Genomic DNA, 16,742 nt, shown 5'->3' on the forward strand with positions numbered 1-16,742 from the left:
ATTGGATGTATTATGGCTTCTAGTTACCAAGGGCCTTTGAAGATGACTGGGCCATTATTTTAATACTTTTTAATATGCTTCTGGATTCAATTATTGCAGATTTTTACAATTATATTTGATCTCTAGTTAGTTTATAAGGAGGACACTATCTTTGTCAGGTTTTAATATCAAGATTGTGATAGCTTTGTAAGTAAATGTAGATATTTTCTATACTTTTTCTTTGCTTTAGAACAGTTGAAATAGAACAAGATCAATCTGACATCTAATGTTTGGTTGAACTCACTTGTAAAACTGTCTGAGCCCCTTGACTTCCAAAGGTAGGTTTTTGATAATTCTTGCTATAGTTTAACATATCACACATATGGAAGACTTTATTTATCTATGTTCAATCTAGAGAATAGTAATGGAAGGATTACACATGTTCTCACCACTGAGTTGCAGAAACAGAACACTATCAGTGTCTTTGAAGGTCACTGTGTTCCCGTACCTGATCACCTCCTCCTCTCTGCCCTAACCCCCATTTGACATAAACACAATGCTAACTTTGGTATACCATTGCTTTGCTTTTCTTCATAGTTATACCATCTTTGTATATATTATTACTGAAGATTATATTATTTAGTTTAGTTGAAATTTATATTATAGAATCATAATCTTCTACTTCTTTTGTCTTTTTTGGGTTTTTGTTTTTTGTTGCCTATTTTTGTTTTGAGATTCATTTATATTTAATAATGCATCACTAGGTCATTTTCAGTTCACTTTACTACTTTGTAATAGTCCATTGTATGACTATTCCACAATGTATCGATTCTACTGATGATGGACATTTGTGTGTTTTCAGTTTGAGAACTTCTGAATGTGTCTGTATGACCGTTTTGGTCCATGTCTCCTGGTATTAGAATTCCTCTAATGTTTACACCAAGAGTGGAATTGTTGGATTGTGGAATGCCCATATGTTCAACTTTATAAGGATATGTCCAATTGTTTTCCCTTAATTATTTTAACAATTTTCTGCTTCTACCAGGAGTGGATAAGAATTCCTATTGCTCAGCCTCCTTGCCAAGATCTCATTTGTGTGATTTTAAATTTTTTGCCAGATAGTTGTAAAGTGGTATCTTATTAAGGATTTAATTTACATTTACATTTCCCTGATTGGTAATGAAATTGGTCACCTTTTCAAATGCTTGCTGTCATTCATAATTTCTTTTCTGTGAAATGCCTCTTTATGTGTTTTGCCTATTTGCTTTTTGGGTTGCTTGGCTTTTTTATTGATTTGTAAGAATTCTTTACCCATTTTGAATATAAATCATTTTGAGTTATATATATTGTAAATGTCTTCTTCTAATTTCTAGCAACTCCTCTCATTCTATGATTTCTCTTGATGAACATAAAGCCTTCATTTTATGATAGTTAAATTTATACATCTACTATTCATGCTTTGAATTTTTATTCTATTTTTAAAATCTCCACACTGAAGATATAAAGATATTTTTCTCTGTTGCACTTAAAACTATCATTATATTGTGTTTATTTATTTTCCATCTTCCCACCAGAATCTAAATTCAATTAAGGCTAGAATATTTGCTTGTTTTACTCATTTCGGTATCTCTAGCACATAGTGGGAACTCAATAAAAATTGTTGAAGGAAACCATGACTGAATGCCAGAGAGGGTGAAATGTTCTTCAGTATCTTGCATTAGCTCATTTTCCTAAGAATGCACATCCTCTGAGGCTATTTCCTCTCCCTAGTCCTGCCATATTTTTCATATGTCTCATTTTCATCTCATAATCAGGTGGATCCATTTGGACTCAGTGTCTTCATATGCACCAGTAACAGAGGGGCTTGTCCTCAGGCTGCTGTCTGCACATCTTTGATTTCGTCCATCTCCACTCTCAGACCTACAGCTGGCCTGCAGGTGGATGTATGCCGTTGTCATTCTGGTTCCTTCTCCTAGCAGGCTTTCATCCAGTGCATTTCTGTTCGACTGCGGTGTATTCTTCCCCTATTCCCAAGGCCCTCATTCCCAAGGTAGTCAGGGCTAATTTAGTCTGCCTCGCAAATAACAAACCCTACATTTCAAAGAACTAGAGTTCCCATTCTGCCTTTCTAGTTGTTTTGTTACAGCTGCTACTGCTGTTGTTGTTTTCAGAGTAACTTTTTACTCTATACTGCATTTGGAAAAGATGATGGTGAAAAGGAAGTTGGGGGAAAGGAATTGGTCAGTGCCTTGAGTGCCTCAGGATGCAGAACACAAGGGGTAGATGGGCAGGTGCCCACTTCTCTGTTGATTCTAGGCCATGCTTTTGCTCAAAGGAATCCAGATCTGGCAACAGAGGCAGTGAAGGGACTGTGCATTTTCCTAGCATTTATCAGGTGATATTTTTCATGAAACTGCAGTTTACTGCATTTCTGGGTAGTCTGTTTTTGTTTGTTTGTCTAACTCAGATCCAAGTTTATTATAACTAATGTTCTTTTATGCCTGACCCTGACATAAGGGAGATTTTCAGTAGCCTTGTGCATTGGTATATTTTTCTGGGTTATCTTTTGTGAGGTAACATTAAGGAATGCTAGCCACATTCCATTTTGAGTGAAACCTCCTGCACTGCTATTTTCTAAGTGTATGCAGAAGCTCATATATTTGGAAAATTCAAGTTCATTCAAATTGCTACTGAATTAGAAGTATCTTTTTGTCATTACCTAGTTTTAAATCAATAGATATTAAAATTACTACTACTATTTCATTGTTGCCCCAGTTTTTTTTTCTGATTTAAAAAAATATACTAAAACAAGCTCTCATAATCCAGAGAATATGTAATCATTCTTCTATAGCACTATACCAAAGACCTTATCCTATGGGATATCGCTTAGTTTCCTATCATTCAAAAACCATCTTTCCAATTTTTTAACTACCAGTTTAAGTAACAGTAAGTAGATTACAGAATGGAGAAAACATAAAGAAGTATGATCGTAAACAACTTCAATTTTTCTGAAAGAAATCTGAAGGATAAAATAATAGCTTCCTTGACTTAGTTGTTCCTATATATTATCTGAGAAAAAGTTTATTGAAGCACATTTTTACACTTTTAATCCACTGGAACGTCACTGAGAAAATGTTCTGAGAGTCATAAGAATGTTGACTAATTGGGCTGTTTGTCCCACATGGGATTACACCACTACTTTCTGAATCAGAAGTTCCTGCTATTGCAACATGAATTATTCTTTATTTTTTATTTTTCCCTCTTAGAAACAATCCATTTGGGTTCATTACATAGCCATTTGTTAGTTTGGGGGATTGTGCTTGTTTGTAACTACAATGAAGTCATACTAGACTGGGTCCGTATGTAAGTCAGTGGGAGATCGTGCAGCTGCTCAGTGAATCATTCAGTGCAAAGGGTCACCCTAATATTTTAACCCCAAAGTCCTGCTTTCCCAAAGTCATGGGTAATTTTTATTTTAATCATCAAGAAGATTGGTTCAACTTTGGTTTACTTAGTACATGTTGCACATACATATCAATCTGTAAAACTTCTAAAAAAATTATATTGAAGTATAATATTCTCAGAGAAAGTGCACGAATCCTAAGTGTATATGGTGAACTTTTACAAACTGAGTACACCTGTGTAACTGCTACCCAGATCAGAAAACAGAACATGACCAGCACCCCAAAAGGTTTCCTCTACCCCCTTTTTGTCACAAACCCTCCTCACCAAGAGTAATCACTCTCCTGTTTTGCGTGTTTTTATACTTTATATAAATGGATTTATACATCATGTGTTATTTTGTATCTGGCTTCTTTCATTCTTCATTATGTTTATGAGACTCATACAATTTTATCATGAATTGTGTTTTTTCATTTTCCATTTCTATATTATTGCTATGGAGTGTCCTATTGATAAATACAACACAGTTTATTCATTCTATTGTCAGCAGACATTTCATGAGTTTTCTTTCTTTTTTTTTTTTTAGAAGGGTTAGGCCTATTATGAATACTCTGTTATGAACATTCCAGTACATCTTTTTTGGTTAAAGTATACACACACACACACACACACACACACACACACACACACACACACATCCTGTTGGATATATAACGAGGAGTAGCATTGCTGGGTCATAGTTTTGTGTATGTTCAGATTTAATAGATAAGCCAGTTTTTCCAGGTGGTTGAATGTACTTACACTAGCAATGTACAAGAGTTCCAGTTGCTCTACCTCCTCACCAATATTTGGCATATTTTGTCTTTTTCATTTTAGCCATCTGGTTCAATATGTATTGAATGTGGTTTAATTTATATTTCCCTAATGATAATGAAGCTGAGTATCGTTTTTATGATTATTAGTAATTTGCATATCTTTCTTTGTGAATTGTCTGTTCATATACATATATATATATGCTGAATATTTTCTGTTTTTCCGTGGGTTACCTTTTCACTCTCTTAGTGGGGTCTTTTGATGACTAGCTTTCCTAGTTTAAAAAAAAACACTCTCACATATTAAAGATCTTAGTAAATATTTAGAAAATTGTTAACCAATGTGTGAGGATCTCAGTAGTGACATGTTTAACTCAAAATGTAATTTATTATTTTTTTCTTTTATGGCTTATAATTTTTGTGTCCAGTTTAAGATATCTTTGCCTACTCCAAATTGGTGAAGTTATTCTATGCCTTCCTCTAAAATCTGTGTTTAGATATGTAATTCATCTGACTACATATTTGTATGTTTTATAATGATCAAGATACATTTTTTTTCAAACCAATATTCTATATACCCCAGCATCACTTTACTTGGTTTATAACTTGTTTGAAATGTGTCCACAAAATTTAGTTTCAGTGAATTTTTAAATATTTTCTTATAATTACTAATATTTCCTAAGAAGAATTTTAAACCTGTGATGATTTCAAATGTGTAATATAATTTCTAGATTTATTTAATACTAATGTCAGTTGAAATTTCCCTTAAAAGTTCTCCTGTTCAATTGGATCTAGTTTTGAAATCCAGCTATTTATTTATTCAACATCAATCTATAATGCATAAAACAATTTTTTAAATAAATTATTGTTCTCATTTTCTCATTTAAATCAATTCAACACATGTTTATTACGTTTCTTCTAGAATTTGGGACAGTTACGAATGTGGTTGAAGTTTCAAGCTTCATTTTTATATCCTTTAGGTTTTAAGCCATATAATAAATTTATCAAATATCTGTCAGTAATAAGCCAATTTCTTTTCTTTTTTTTTTTTTTTTTTTGAGATGGAGTCTTGCTCTGCCACCCCGGAGTGCAGTGGCGCAATCTCAGCTCACTGCAAGCTCCACCTCCCGAGTTCACACCATTCTCCTGCCTCAGCCTCCCAAGTAGCTGGGACTACAGGCGCCTGCCACCACACCCAGCTAATTTTTTGTATTTTTAGTAGAGACAGGGTTTCACCGTGTTAACCAGGATGGTCTTGATCTCCTGACCTCGTGATCCACCCGCCTCGGCCTCCCAAAGTGCTGGGATTAGAGGCGTGAGCCACCGCACCCGGCCAAGCCAATTTCTTTAGTAGTCAAAATTATATTAATAAAGAAAGGTACAAAGTGAGGATTTTTATTACTATTAGGATAGACTTAGACCCCTTATACAATTCCTCAATACCAAGTTTTCCACTAATAATGACACATATCTTTAAAGACATAAAAATAGGAAAGAAAATATAAAAGTTTCATTTTTATATTTTGAATACCTATAAATGTTTACTCTTTGATGTCATTTTTGCTTAGTTTTATTTTTTAACTTTTTATTATTTGTTCTAGGTTGTACTGGTCAGTGGACATCTGGACAGCTGGGATGTTGGGCAGGGTGCCATGGATGATGGCGGTGGAGCCTTTATATCATGGGAAGCACTCTCACTTATTAAAGATCTTGGTAAATATTTAGAAAATTGTTAACTAATGTGTGAGGATCTCAGTGACATGTTTAACTCAAAACACAAAATACTTAACAGATTAGTTACTATGGTATGTTCAAAGATCCTCTTGAGGTCAGTTGATTCCCAGAAAAGAAACAACTTATGCTCTTAAAGAAATTTTTATTCATGTGTACGCCAGACATCTAAAGTGTCAAATGTTATTATCAGCCACTGGGGAAAATGAACAAGCAAATAAAACTGAAGCAAATGTAACCACACCAGCTAAAGAATATGCAAGGAAAATATGATGAAATGCAAAGAAAAATCAGCAGCACCTCCTACTTCCTTTCCCTTATTCATCTTAACACATTATCAGACTATTAGGACAATGGATAAAGGCTGGTCGTCTTTCCATCATAGAAATAAAAGAGTAACCTAGATAGAAAGAATGATTTCCATAGCCACAATAAGGAATCCAGGCAGATAATTCTTTGTTGCAAGGTCTGTCCCATGCATGATAGGATGTTTTGCAGCATCCCTGACCTCTTCCCACTAGAAGCCAGTAGCACCCTCCCCTAACCTCAAGTTATGATAACAAAAATGTCTCCAGACATTGCCAGATGTCCCCTGGGGGGCCAGGGAAGCAGTTGCCCCATTTTGAGAACCACTAATATAAACTAATAAAAATATCTAGGTAACCTGAATACAGGGTCATTTTGTTAAAGAAAACAAACTAATTGGAAATCTTACATTGTATATACACTTTTACCATAATTACCATACATGACAGAAAATATTTTGACCACCTACTTTGCTTTTTATAAAGCACTTTGTAAAAGCTGGGCATATAGGTTTAAAGGATGTCCCCTGTTCTTAAGACTCTTAGAATGGAGTGGGTAACCTTCACACATACATACACACATAGTTATCAATATAGACATAATTTCAACATCTAATTTTAGAATTGGGGAAGGTTTGAGAGAGAAGTTATCCAGCAAATAAAACTGAAAATCACACATTCCTTCACAGAAAATCTGGGAGACGCTATGTTAATTCTCTCCTCCTCTTCTCTTAAAAATATTCCCTTGGCTATCTCTTCTTTCTGTTTCTCATATCATTCCAGAAAGAAGTGGGTTCTAGAGGAAAGCAGGAAAAAGTCGAACATTTTTCCTCTTCAAAAATCACCGATAATGATTTTGGACATTAATTTTATTTCAGTATGTTCAATCAGCTTGATTGGAAGCACAGTGGTGGAGTAAAAAGAGAAATTTTCTTTAGACCCATTTGAATTGGACTTTAGGTCACTTTACTATATTTTGGTCCTTAAGCAAGTCATTTGAATGCTCTGGACTTCATTTTTCTCATCTCTATTAAACTGTAAGCTTCAGAGTATTTCATTTGCTCTAGATTGGAATAAAAATTGTATCTTCTTTAAGCTTTGAATCTTACTTCTTCGGTATTCAGCATGGGACCCTAAATCACTGTTAATTGAATTGAATTCAGTTGCATGGACAAATGTTAAATACCATGCAAAAGTGAATTGAGTATCTTTTACCAGTTCTCAAAGTACATCGACTTCAGTTGCTTTTGATAGCTAGTGACCAGTCTCTTTAATTTGGGACTTAAATCTCCAAAAGATTTCTGAAAGTCTATGTAAAGATATGAATAGAACTCTAAAATAAAGAGTAATATTTCTTTTGAGTAGGCATTATGAGGCACCATAGTATACTGTTAAAAACATAGGATTCTGGAGCCAGACTGCCAGGGTTCAAATCTCAGCTCTGCAGTCTGCTAGGTGTGTGGCCTTAGGCAAGTTACTTTGCCTCTCTGTGCCTCAATTTTCTCATCTGTGAAATGGGATAATAATAGTTCCTATCTCATAAAGTTGCTTTGAAAATTAAATAAGCAGAGTATACTTAGAACATGGGCTGGCCCAACCCAAGTTATCAATAAATGTTAACTTTTATAACTTAACTTAATAAGCATGATTCTGACAGTACCATTTTTTTAATATAAGAGAAGATGATAATTTAGTTTACCTCCATCCCCATTAGTGATTGCTTTGCCTCCTAACTTTTAGTATATTAGCTATACTAATGTAACTTTAGGGCCAGTTGCTATGTATCCCTAAAATATCCTTTCCCTTTACTACTTAAGTCACCATCCCTTGTATGATAGAAACCCAGTGACCCCTCCACTTTTTTTCATTTCACACTAAATTTTTAGAAGTCTTAAATTTCTCCTGGTTACTTCTATATCCTGCTTATGTTTAATGCCCAGTATCTACTCTGCACCTCACTTTCCATGATTGCACCCATTGAGTCTTACTCTTTAATTTTGAAATTGTGGATTTCTATTTGTAGATTGCCTATGTATTTTAACATGAAGAGCTAGGTTCAGCATGTGATGTGTATGAATTCTGGATGAAAATTGCTGATATACTTGAACTAGAAATATGCCCTTGGGCTTGAGGCCAAGAAATAGGTTCATAATTATATTACTTAATTACATGGAATCCAATCTGTTTAATTGGTAAAATGTGAAAGCTCTGTGGCAATCTCTTTTTCCAAGAAAAATGAGACTCCTTTTGGATGCTATTCCTTGGATGATGTGTCATGCAGCATGTCAGAGTCCCTCAGTGGAGCGTGTTAACTTGAAGAGCTGGTCCAGTGGGGATCTCTGATATTTGGAAATATTTTTCTAAGATTCATCCTTCTGGTATCTTCTTCTTTGTCTTCCCCTCTCACCACTCTTATAGATTCACTTTTTTGCTCAAGCCTTCAGCTTAAATTATATTCAATTAATCTAACAGAAGAGTTATTTGTGCTTTGTAAATATAATCAGTCTTTCCCGAGTAACTGTCTACAGAAGGCTGTTTGCTGTGAAGCGTCGTTGAATACTTTTCTGTGTCTGTGGTTTACTGGACTTGAAACTGTTTATTTGAAATGTTATTTTCTGGAATGTTCTGGTGTCAGTGGACAAAGCCTATGGCCAATGATGCTCCAAAATGCTCATTTGGCACTTAGAAAATAAACTACCATCCATCCCAAATTCTTCCAACTGTATCATTTTCTATGAAGTTAGAATTTTGAGTTTCCAGGTCTAAAGAAATGAAAGATATGAGAATTAACAGTATTACCTGGTTGTTGGAATGTGGAATATATAAGAAACATTTTTCCAGAAAAAATGTAAATGTTGAGCCTCCTGACTGTGATTACTATAGAGCTTGAAAGTCTATGTCTTAGAAAAATATTTTATTGGTATGTTTCTTCATTCATTCACTCAACAAATACTTGTGCATTGACTGCTGGTTCATGTATCAGATGCCTTGCACTAAAGAGGAAAGAGAAATGGCCCTTTAAGTCCTTGAAGTAGGAGAGACATTTAATTCAAAAATTGCAATGAAATTGTGGTAAGTTCTCTGAATGTAGGATGTACAAATTACTTTGGGCACCTGGTAAAGAAACAGACCAACATGGCTTGGCTGGGTCAGAGCAACTTCACTAAGATGTTATTTGAACTTTCTTTCATAAAGATAAATAGAAATTCCTGAGATGAACAGTGCAGAATGAAGTATTCCCAGCAGAGTACAGAGCTTCCAGTTCTGTGTGTCATTAAAAATGAGAAGAAAATTGTTGACAGTAGCAGTCTTGGGATTATAGGGGGAGACAGGAGTTGTGGAATTACAGGAGAGGTTCACTTTTTACCTGATATATTTGTATAATGTTAGATTTTTGTGTAATAAGTATGTGTTACTTCAGTAATCAAGAAAAAGCTATCAAATACTCCTCTACCCCTACTCCCAAAAAAGAAATTAAAAAGAAAAGAAAGAGTTTTGGTATTGTCATTATCATAAACACCCTGTTAACAGAAACAACACAGCAGAGGTAAGGAGTTGGAAGAGTTGTCCAGGAGTCACCAAGCCTCCCTGGCCCAGAATACAACCATGAAGACAGCCAAAGGCATGCCAGGGCTTTGATGCAAGTTCCACTGTAGCTAGAGCCTTATGCAGCCATTTCCAATGCAGTGGGTTCTCTCTTAGAAATGGGGACCCATCTGGGAAGAAGGTTTTCTTCCCTAAGGCTCTGGTCAAGACTGTCTTGGAAAAGCCCCAGGAAATGTAATTCAGAGTAACAGAGAAGAAAATGAACAGCCTCCAGTGAAATGGAAGCCTAAAGGGTAGAGCTAGAGATGGCTGGTGTCCTGAAACGAATCTGGGACTAGCCCAGACCTACAAAAGATATCTCCTTTGGAAAGGACCTCCCCACTGGGTTTAGCCATACCGCTGGGTATAATAAAAATATTGAGAGCTAGCATTGACTGAAGATTACTATTGTAAGCATTGTGCTAAGCACTCCACTGAGTACATATTCTCCTTTATTCCTGAAAATAAACCCAAGCAGTAGGTAACTCGTGTTATATTCATTTTACAGAAGAGGAAACCAAAGCAGAGAAAAGCTAAGTACCTTGCCCAAGATCACCAGCTATTATGTGAAAAATTTAAATCTAGGCAGCCTGACGCCATGCCCAACACTCTTTTTTTTTTTTTTTTGAGACGGAGTCTCGCTCTGTCGCCCAGGCTGGAGTGCAGTGGTGCGATCTCGGCTCACTGCAAGCTCCGCCTCCCGGGTTCACGCCATTCTCCTGCCTCAGCCTCACGAGTAGCTGGGACTACAGGCGCCCGCTACCACGCCCGGCTAATTTTTTGTATTTTTAGTAGAGACGGGGTTTCACCGTGTTAGCCAGGATGGTCTCTATCTCCTGACCTCGTGATCCGCCCGCCTCGGCCTCCCAAAGTGCTGGGATTACAGGCGTGAGCCACCGCGCCCGGCCACTCTTAAGTACTTTATAATATTGTTTTAATGGAAAAACACTGCCAGTCTGTTTCTAGGAACACTCATCCTCAGGATAAAAAGAGATATTATAAAGAAAGGGGGGAAAAGTGTCCTATGGTCAGATAAGTTTGGGAACTCCCTCTTGGTAATTTCTTTATTTGTAAATAACATTTGTTGGGAGAGTATTCACTCCGTGGGTATAGCGTACTTTGGAACACAATGCCCTGCGGCATTTTTTGAGGTGGCAGAACTGAGTAAGGATACAAGAATCCTTACACAGATGCACTTCTGGAAGTGAGTACAAATAGCCTTGGATTTGTTTTCATTCTAGATTTTCTAGGCTACCTTTGGGAGCCTGAGATTGCCAGAATATTGACAAGCTAGAACCATATGATGATTCCTTAATTGGCATGATAGAGCCTATTGTTGTGTCTCTCCCTGAAGAACATTTGTATCCACCCAAGTGCAAACTCTAGCTGACAACTAACTTTTTATCCACACTATCTGAGTCTATTTTTTCAAAATGAACGTAGTATTATTGGAAATATTTGAAATATGCTAATGACTCTATCAGGTTTTTCATGGCCCCAGATGAATCAGAATTTGTAAGATTTTTATTTTCTAGAAGGAATTTTTATTTTAAAACATTCCATGAACTCTCCCTATTGCCATGTTGGATACGCTTTCTGCACAATTATTTGGGAACAAAGGAAGGGAGACTAATGGCCCTGGGAAAGGTATCCTATTAAAATCACTGGTCCTCAATATGTTTAGTGAATAATACATCTGCTTGTGAAGCTGTCCAGTCTGAAGCTGTGTTTTAAGTCTTAAATATTTCCCCCAACATTAAATTTTATTTTTATTAATTTAAATGTTAATGCGTAGATGCTGCTTGCTTCTTTGGTTCTGAATTTTGGTCTTGATGTTTTATAATTGCACTTATCGATGAAAGTACCTAAACCAGTAGAAGAATTAGAAACTTGAAGAAATTGTGAAGAAGGATTAAAATGGCAGATAGGAGGCAGGACTAGTTTGCAGCTCCCATTCGAACAGACAGAGCAGTGTTTGGAGACTCACATAGTGAACTTTTGCTCTAAGAACTACCTCAAGAACATATCAGGAAAGCCAAGAGAATCCACAGACCCTTTGAAGGAACTGGATCACCACTGCAGGCTTCCTGAGATGCCAAAAAAAACTATGAGTCTGTTTGCTTTCTCAAAGGAGAGGCTCTTGGTCTGGGGCAAGTTCTCAGCCCTAGTTACCTGTTGCCTGGAAATAGATTCAGTGCTGTTATGGGGGCACTGTGGGAGTGAGACCGGCCTTCAGGATTGCAGGCTGCATGGGAGCAGGGTAAGGCCTGTGACTGCCAGCTTTCCTCCACCTCCCTGGCAACTTGTATGACTCAGTAGAGACAGCCATAATCCCCCTGGGAATATAACTCCATTGGACTGGGATCCACACCCTCATAGCCCACAGCAGCTGCAGCAAGCCCTGCCAAAGGAGAGGCTGAACTCAGACATGCTTACCCCTTCCCCCACCTGGTAGTCTTTCTCTACCTGCCCTGGTAGCCAAAGACAAAGGTCATAATCTTTTGGGAGCTCTATGGCCCTACCTATCACCTGAGAAACCACTTAACCAAGTGTTCCTAGGGCAACTAGGAACACAGCTGATACACTCTTGTCAGTGCCACCTCCTGGCTGGAGGCCAACCAACACAAAACCAACACTCTAAACAAAAACACAACCAAGGACCCTCGCAGAGACGACTTCACTCCCCTGCTAATTCCATCAGAGCAGGTGCTGGCATCCATGGCTGCAAGACCTGAAGACAGATCACATCACAGGACTCTTTGCAGACACTCTCCAGTACCAGCCTGAAGCCCAGTAGCTCCTCTGGGTGGCTAGACCCAGAAGAGCAAAAACAATCACTACAGTTCAGCTCTCAGGAAGCCCCATTCCTAGGGGAAGGGAAAGAACATCACATCAAGGGAGCATCCCGTGGGACAAAAGAATCTGATTAGCAGCCCTGAATCCCAGACCTTCCCTCTGACCTAGTCTACCCAAATGAGAAGGAACCAGAAAAACATCTGGGTAATATGAGAAAACAAGTTTCTTTTACATCCCCCAAAAGATGATACCAGTTCACCAGCAATGGATCCAAACCAAGATGAAATCTCCAAATTGCCAGAAATAGAATTCAGAAAGTTGATTATTAAGTTAATCAAGGAGGCACCAGAGAAAGGTGAAGTCCAACTAAAAGAAATAAAAATTATGGGATATGAAACAAAAAGTCTTCAGTGAAATAGACAGCATAAATGTAAAACAATCACAACTTCTAGAAGGCAAGAAATGCAAAATGCACTGGAAAGTCTCAGCAATGGAATGGAACAAGCAGAAGAAAGAAATTCAGAGTTCAAAGACAAGGCTTTCAAATTAACCTAATCTGTCAAAGACAAAGAAAAAAGAATGAAAAAATTGAACAAAGCCTCCAAGAAGTTTGGGATTATGTTAAACATCCAAACCTAAAAATAATCGGCGTTCTCAAGGAAGAAGAGAAATCTAAAAGTCTGAAAAACATATTTGTTAGAATCATCAAGGAAAACTTCCCTGGCCTTCCTAGAGATCTAGACATCCAAATACAAGAAACTCAAAGAACTCCTGGGAAATTCATTGCCAAAAGATCATCACCTAGGCACATAGTCATCAGGTTAACTAAAGTCAAGATAAAGGAAGGAATCTTAAGAGCTCTGAGGCAAAAGCATCAGGTAACCTATAAAGGGAAAACCCCATCAGATTAACAGCAGATTTCTCAGCAGAAACCCTACCAGCTAGATGGGATTGGGGTCCTCTTTTTAGCCTCCTTAAACAAAACAATTATCAGCCAAGAATTTTGTATCCAGCAAAACTAAGCTTCATAAATGAAGGAAAGATAGTCTTTTCCAGACAAACAAATGCTGAGAGAATTCACCACTACCGAGCCAGTACTACAAAAACTGCTAAAAGGAGCTCTAAATCTTGAAACAAATCCTTGAAATATACCAAAATAGAATCTCCTTAAAGCATAAATCTCACAGAAACTACAGAACAATAACACAGTGGAAAAAAAGGTAATCAGGCAACAAATAGCATGATGAATAAAATAGTACCTCACATGTCAATACTAACATTGATTGTAAATGGCCTAAATTCTCCACTTAAAAGATAACAGAATGACAGAATGGATAAGAATGCACCAACCAAGTTTCTGCTGTCTTCAGGAGACTACTCTCACACATAAGGACTCACGTAAACTTAAGATGAAGGGGTGGAAAAAGATACTCCATGCAAATGGACACCAAAAGCGAGCAGGTGTAGCTATTCTTATACCAGAAAAAACAAACTTTAAATCAACAGCAGTTTAAAAAGATGAAGAGAGACATTATATAATGATAAAAGGACTAGTCCAACAGGAAAATATCACAATTCTAAATATATATGCACCTAACACTGGAGATCCCAAATTTATGAAACAATTACTATTAGACCTAAGTAGTGAGATAGACAGCAACACAATAATATGGGGGACTTTAATACACCACTGATAGCACTAAACAGGTCATCAAGACAGAAAGTCAACAAAGAAAAACTCTACCTAAATGATACCCTACAAGTGAACTTAACAGATATTTACATGACATTCTACCCAGCAACTGCAGAATATACATTCTATTCATCAGCACATGGAACATTCTCCTAGACCATATGATAGGCCACAAAACAAGTCTCAGTAAATTTAAGAAAATCAAAATTATATCTAGTACTTTCTCAGACCACAGTGGAATAAAATTCGAAATCAACTCCAAGAGGAACCCTTAAAACCATGTAAATACATGGAAATTAAATAATCTGTTCTTGAATGATCATTGGGTCAACAATGAAATCAAGATGGAAATTTAAAAATTTTTTGAACTGAATAATAATAGTGACGCAGCCTATCAAAACCTCTGGGATACAGCAAAACTGGTGCTAAGAGGAAAGTTCATAGCATTAAATGCCTAAACCAAAAATCTGAAAGAGAACCAATAGACAACCTAAGGTCATGCCTCATGGAGCTGGAGAAACAAGAACAATCGAAACCCAAACCCAGCAGAAGAAAATGACGAAGATCAGAGCAGAACTAAATGAAATTTAAAAAGAAAAAAGATAAATGAAACAAAAGCTGGTTCTTTGAAAAGATAAATGAAACAGATAGACCAACGAGATTAACCAAGAAAAGAAGAGAGAAGATACAAATATGCTCAATTAGAAATGAAATGGGAGATATTACAACTGGTACCACAGAAATACAAAAGATTATTCAAGGATACTGTGAACACCTTTACACACATAAACTAGAAAATCTAGAGGAGATGGATATATTGAAAGTATACAATCCTCCTAGATTAAACCAAGAAGATACAGAATCTCTGAACAGGCAGTGAGATTGAAATGGTAATTAAAAAAAATTCCAAACAAAAAAATTCCAGGACCAGATAGATTCATGGCTGAATTCTATCAGATGTTCAAAAAAGAACTGGTACCAATTCTACTATTTCAAAGGATAAGGAAATAGAGAATCATCCCTAACTCATTCTATGAAGCCAGTATCACCCTAATACCAAAACCAAGGGAGGACATAACAAAAAAAAAAGAGAGAGAGAGAGAAAACTACAGACCAATATCCCTGATGAACGTAGATGCTAAAATCCTCAACAAAATACTAGCAAACTGAATCCAACAGCATATCAAAAAGATACTTCACCATGATCAAGTGGGTTTCATACTAGGGATGCAGGGTTGATTTAAGAGACATAAGTCAATAAATATGATACATCACATAAACAGAATTAAAAACAAAAATCACATGATCATCTTAATAGATGCAGAAGAAGCATTTGACAAAATCCAGCATCGCTTTATGATTAAAACCCTGAGCAAAATTGGCATAGAAGGGACATACCTTGAGGTAATAATAGCCATCTACAACAAACAGATAACATTATACTGAATAGGGAAAGTTGAAAGCATTCCCCCTGAGAACTGGAACAAGACAAGGATTCCCATTTTCACCACTTCTATTCAACATAGAATTGGAAGTCCTAGCTAGAGTCATCAGACAAGAAAAAGATATCAAGTGCATCCCAATCAGTAAAGAGGAAGTCAAACTGTCACTGTTTGCTGATGATATGATTGTATATGTAGAAAACCCTAAAGACTCATCCAAAAAGCTCCTAAAACTAGCAAATGAATTCAGCAAAGGTTCAGGATACAAAATTAATGTACACAAATCACTAGCTCTTCTATATACCAACAGCAACCAAGCTGAGAATCAAATTAAGAACTCAACCCCTTTCACAATAGCTGACAAAAAAAAAAAAAAAAAAAAAAAAACCTTAGGATTATACCTAACCAAGGACGTGAAAGACCTCTACGAGTAAAACTAAAAAGCTCTGCTGAAAGAAATCATAGATGACACAAGCAAATGGAAACACATCCCATGCTCATGGATGGGTAGCATCAATATTATGAAAATGACCATACTGCCAAAAGCAATCTACAAATTCATTGCAATTCCCATCAAAATACCACCATCATTCTTCAAGAAGTAGAAAAAACATCCTAAAATTAATATGGAACCAAAAAAGAGCCCGCATAGCCAAAGCAAGACCAAGCAAAAAGAACAAATCTGGAAGCATCACATTACCCTACTTCAAACTAAACTATAAGGCCTTAGACACCAAAACAGCATGGTACTGGTATAAAAATAGGCATATAGACCAATGGAAGAGAAGAAAGAACCCAGAAATAAAGCCAAATACTTACAGCCAACTGATCTTTGACAAAGCAAACAAAAACATAAAGTGGAGAAAAGACGCCTATTCAATAAATGGTGCTGGGATAATTGGCAAGCCACATGTAGGAGAATGAAACTGGATCCTCATCTCTTACCTTACATAAAAATTAACTCAAGATGGAACAAAAACTTAAATCTAAGACCTGA

The 16,742-nt window shown here is 36.6% G+C and overlaps 1 protein-coding gene and 1 long non-coding RNA gene across 2 annotated transcripts in view; one reads left to right on the plus strand and one right to left on the minus strand.

The window, feature by feature from the left end:
* The window catches only part of CPQ (carboxypeptidase Q), a 498,260-nt gene that overhangs the window by 314,899 nt on the left and 166,619 nt on the right, over nt 1–16,742 (plus strand). The window contains exon 5 of the mRNA NM_016134.4: nt 5,795–5,906. Coding sequence (NP_057218.1) covers nt 5,795–5,906 — 112 coding nt within the window. The remainder of the gene's footprint in view (nt 1–5,794; nt 5,907–16,742) is intronic.
* LOC101927066 (uncharacterized) overlaps nt 1–16,742 on the minus strand; it is a 494,634-nt gene that overhangs the window by 8,277 nt on the left and 469,615 nt on the right. The window lies entirely within an intron of this gene.

The sequence above is a fragment of the Homo sapiens genome, chromosome 8, assembly GCF_000001405.40.
Source record: "Homo sapiens chromosome 8, GRCh38.p14 Primary Assembly".
Classification (NCBI taxonomy): domain Eukaryota; kingdom Metazoa; phylum Chordata; class Mammalia; order Primates; family Hominidae; genus Homo; species Homo sapiens.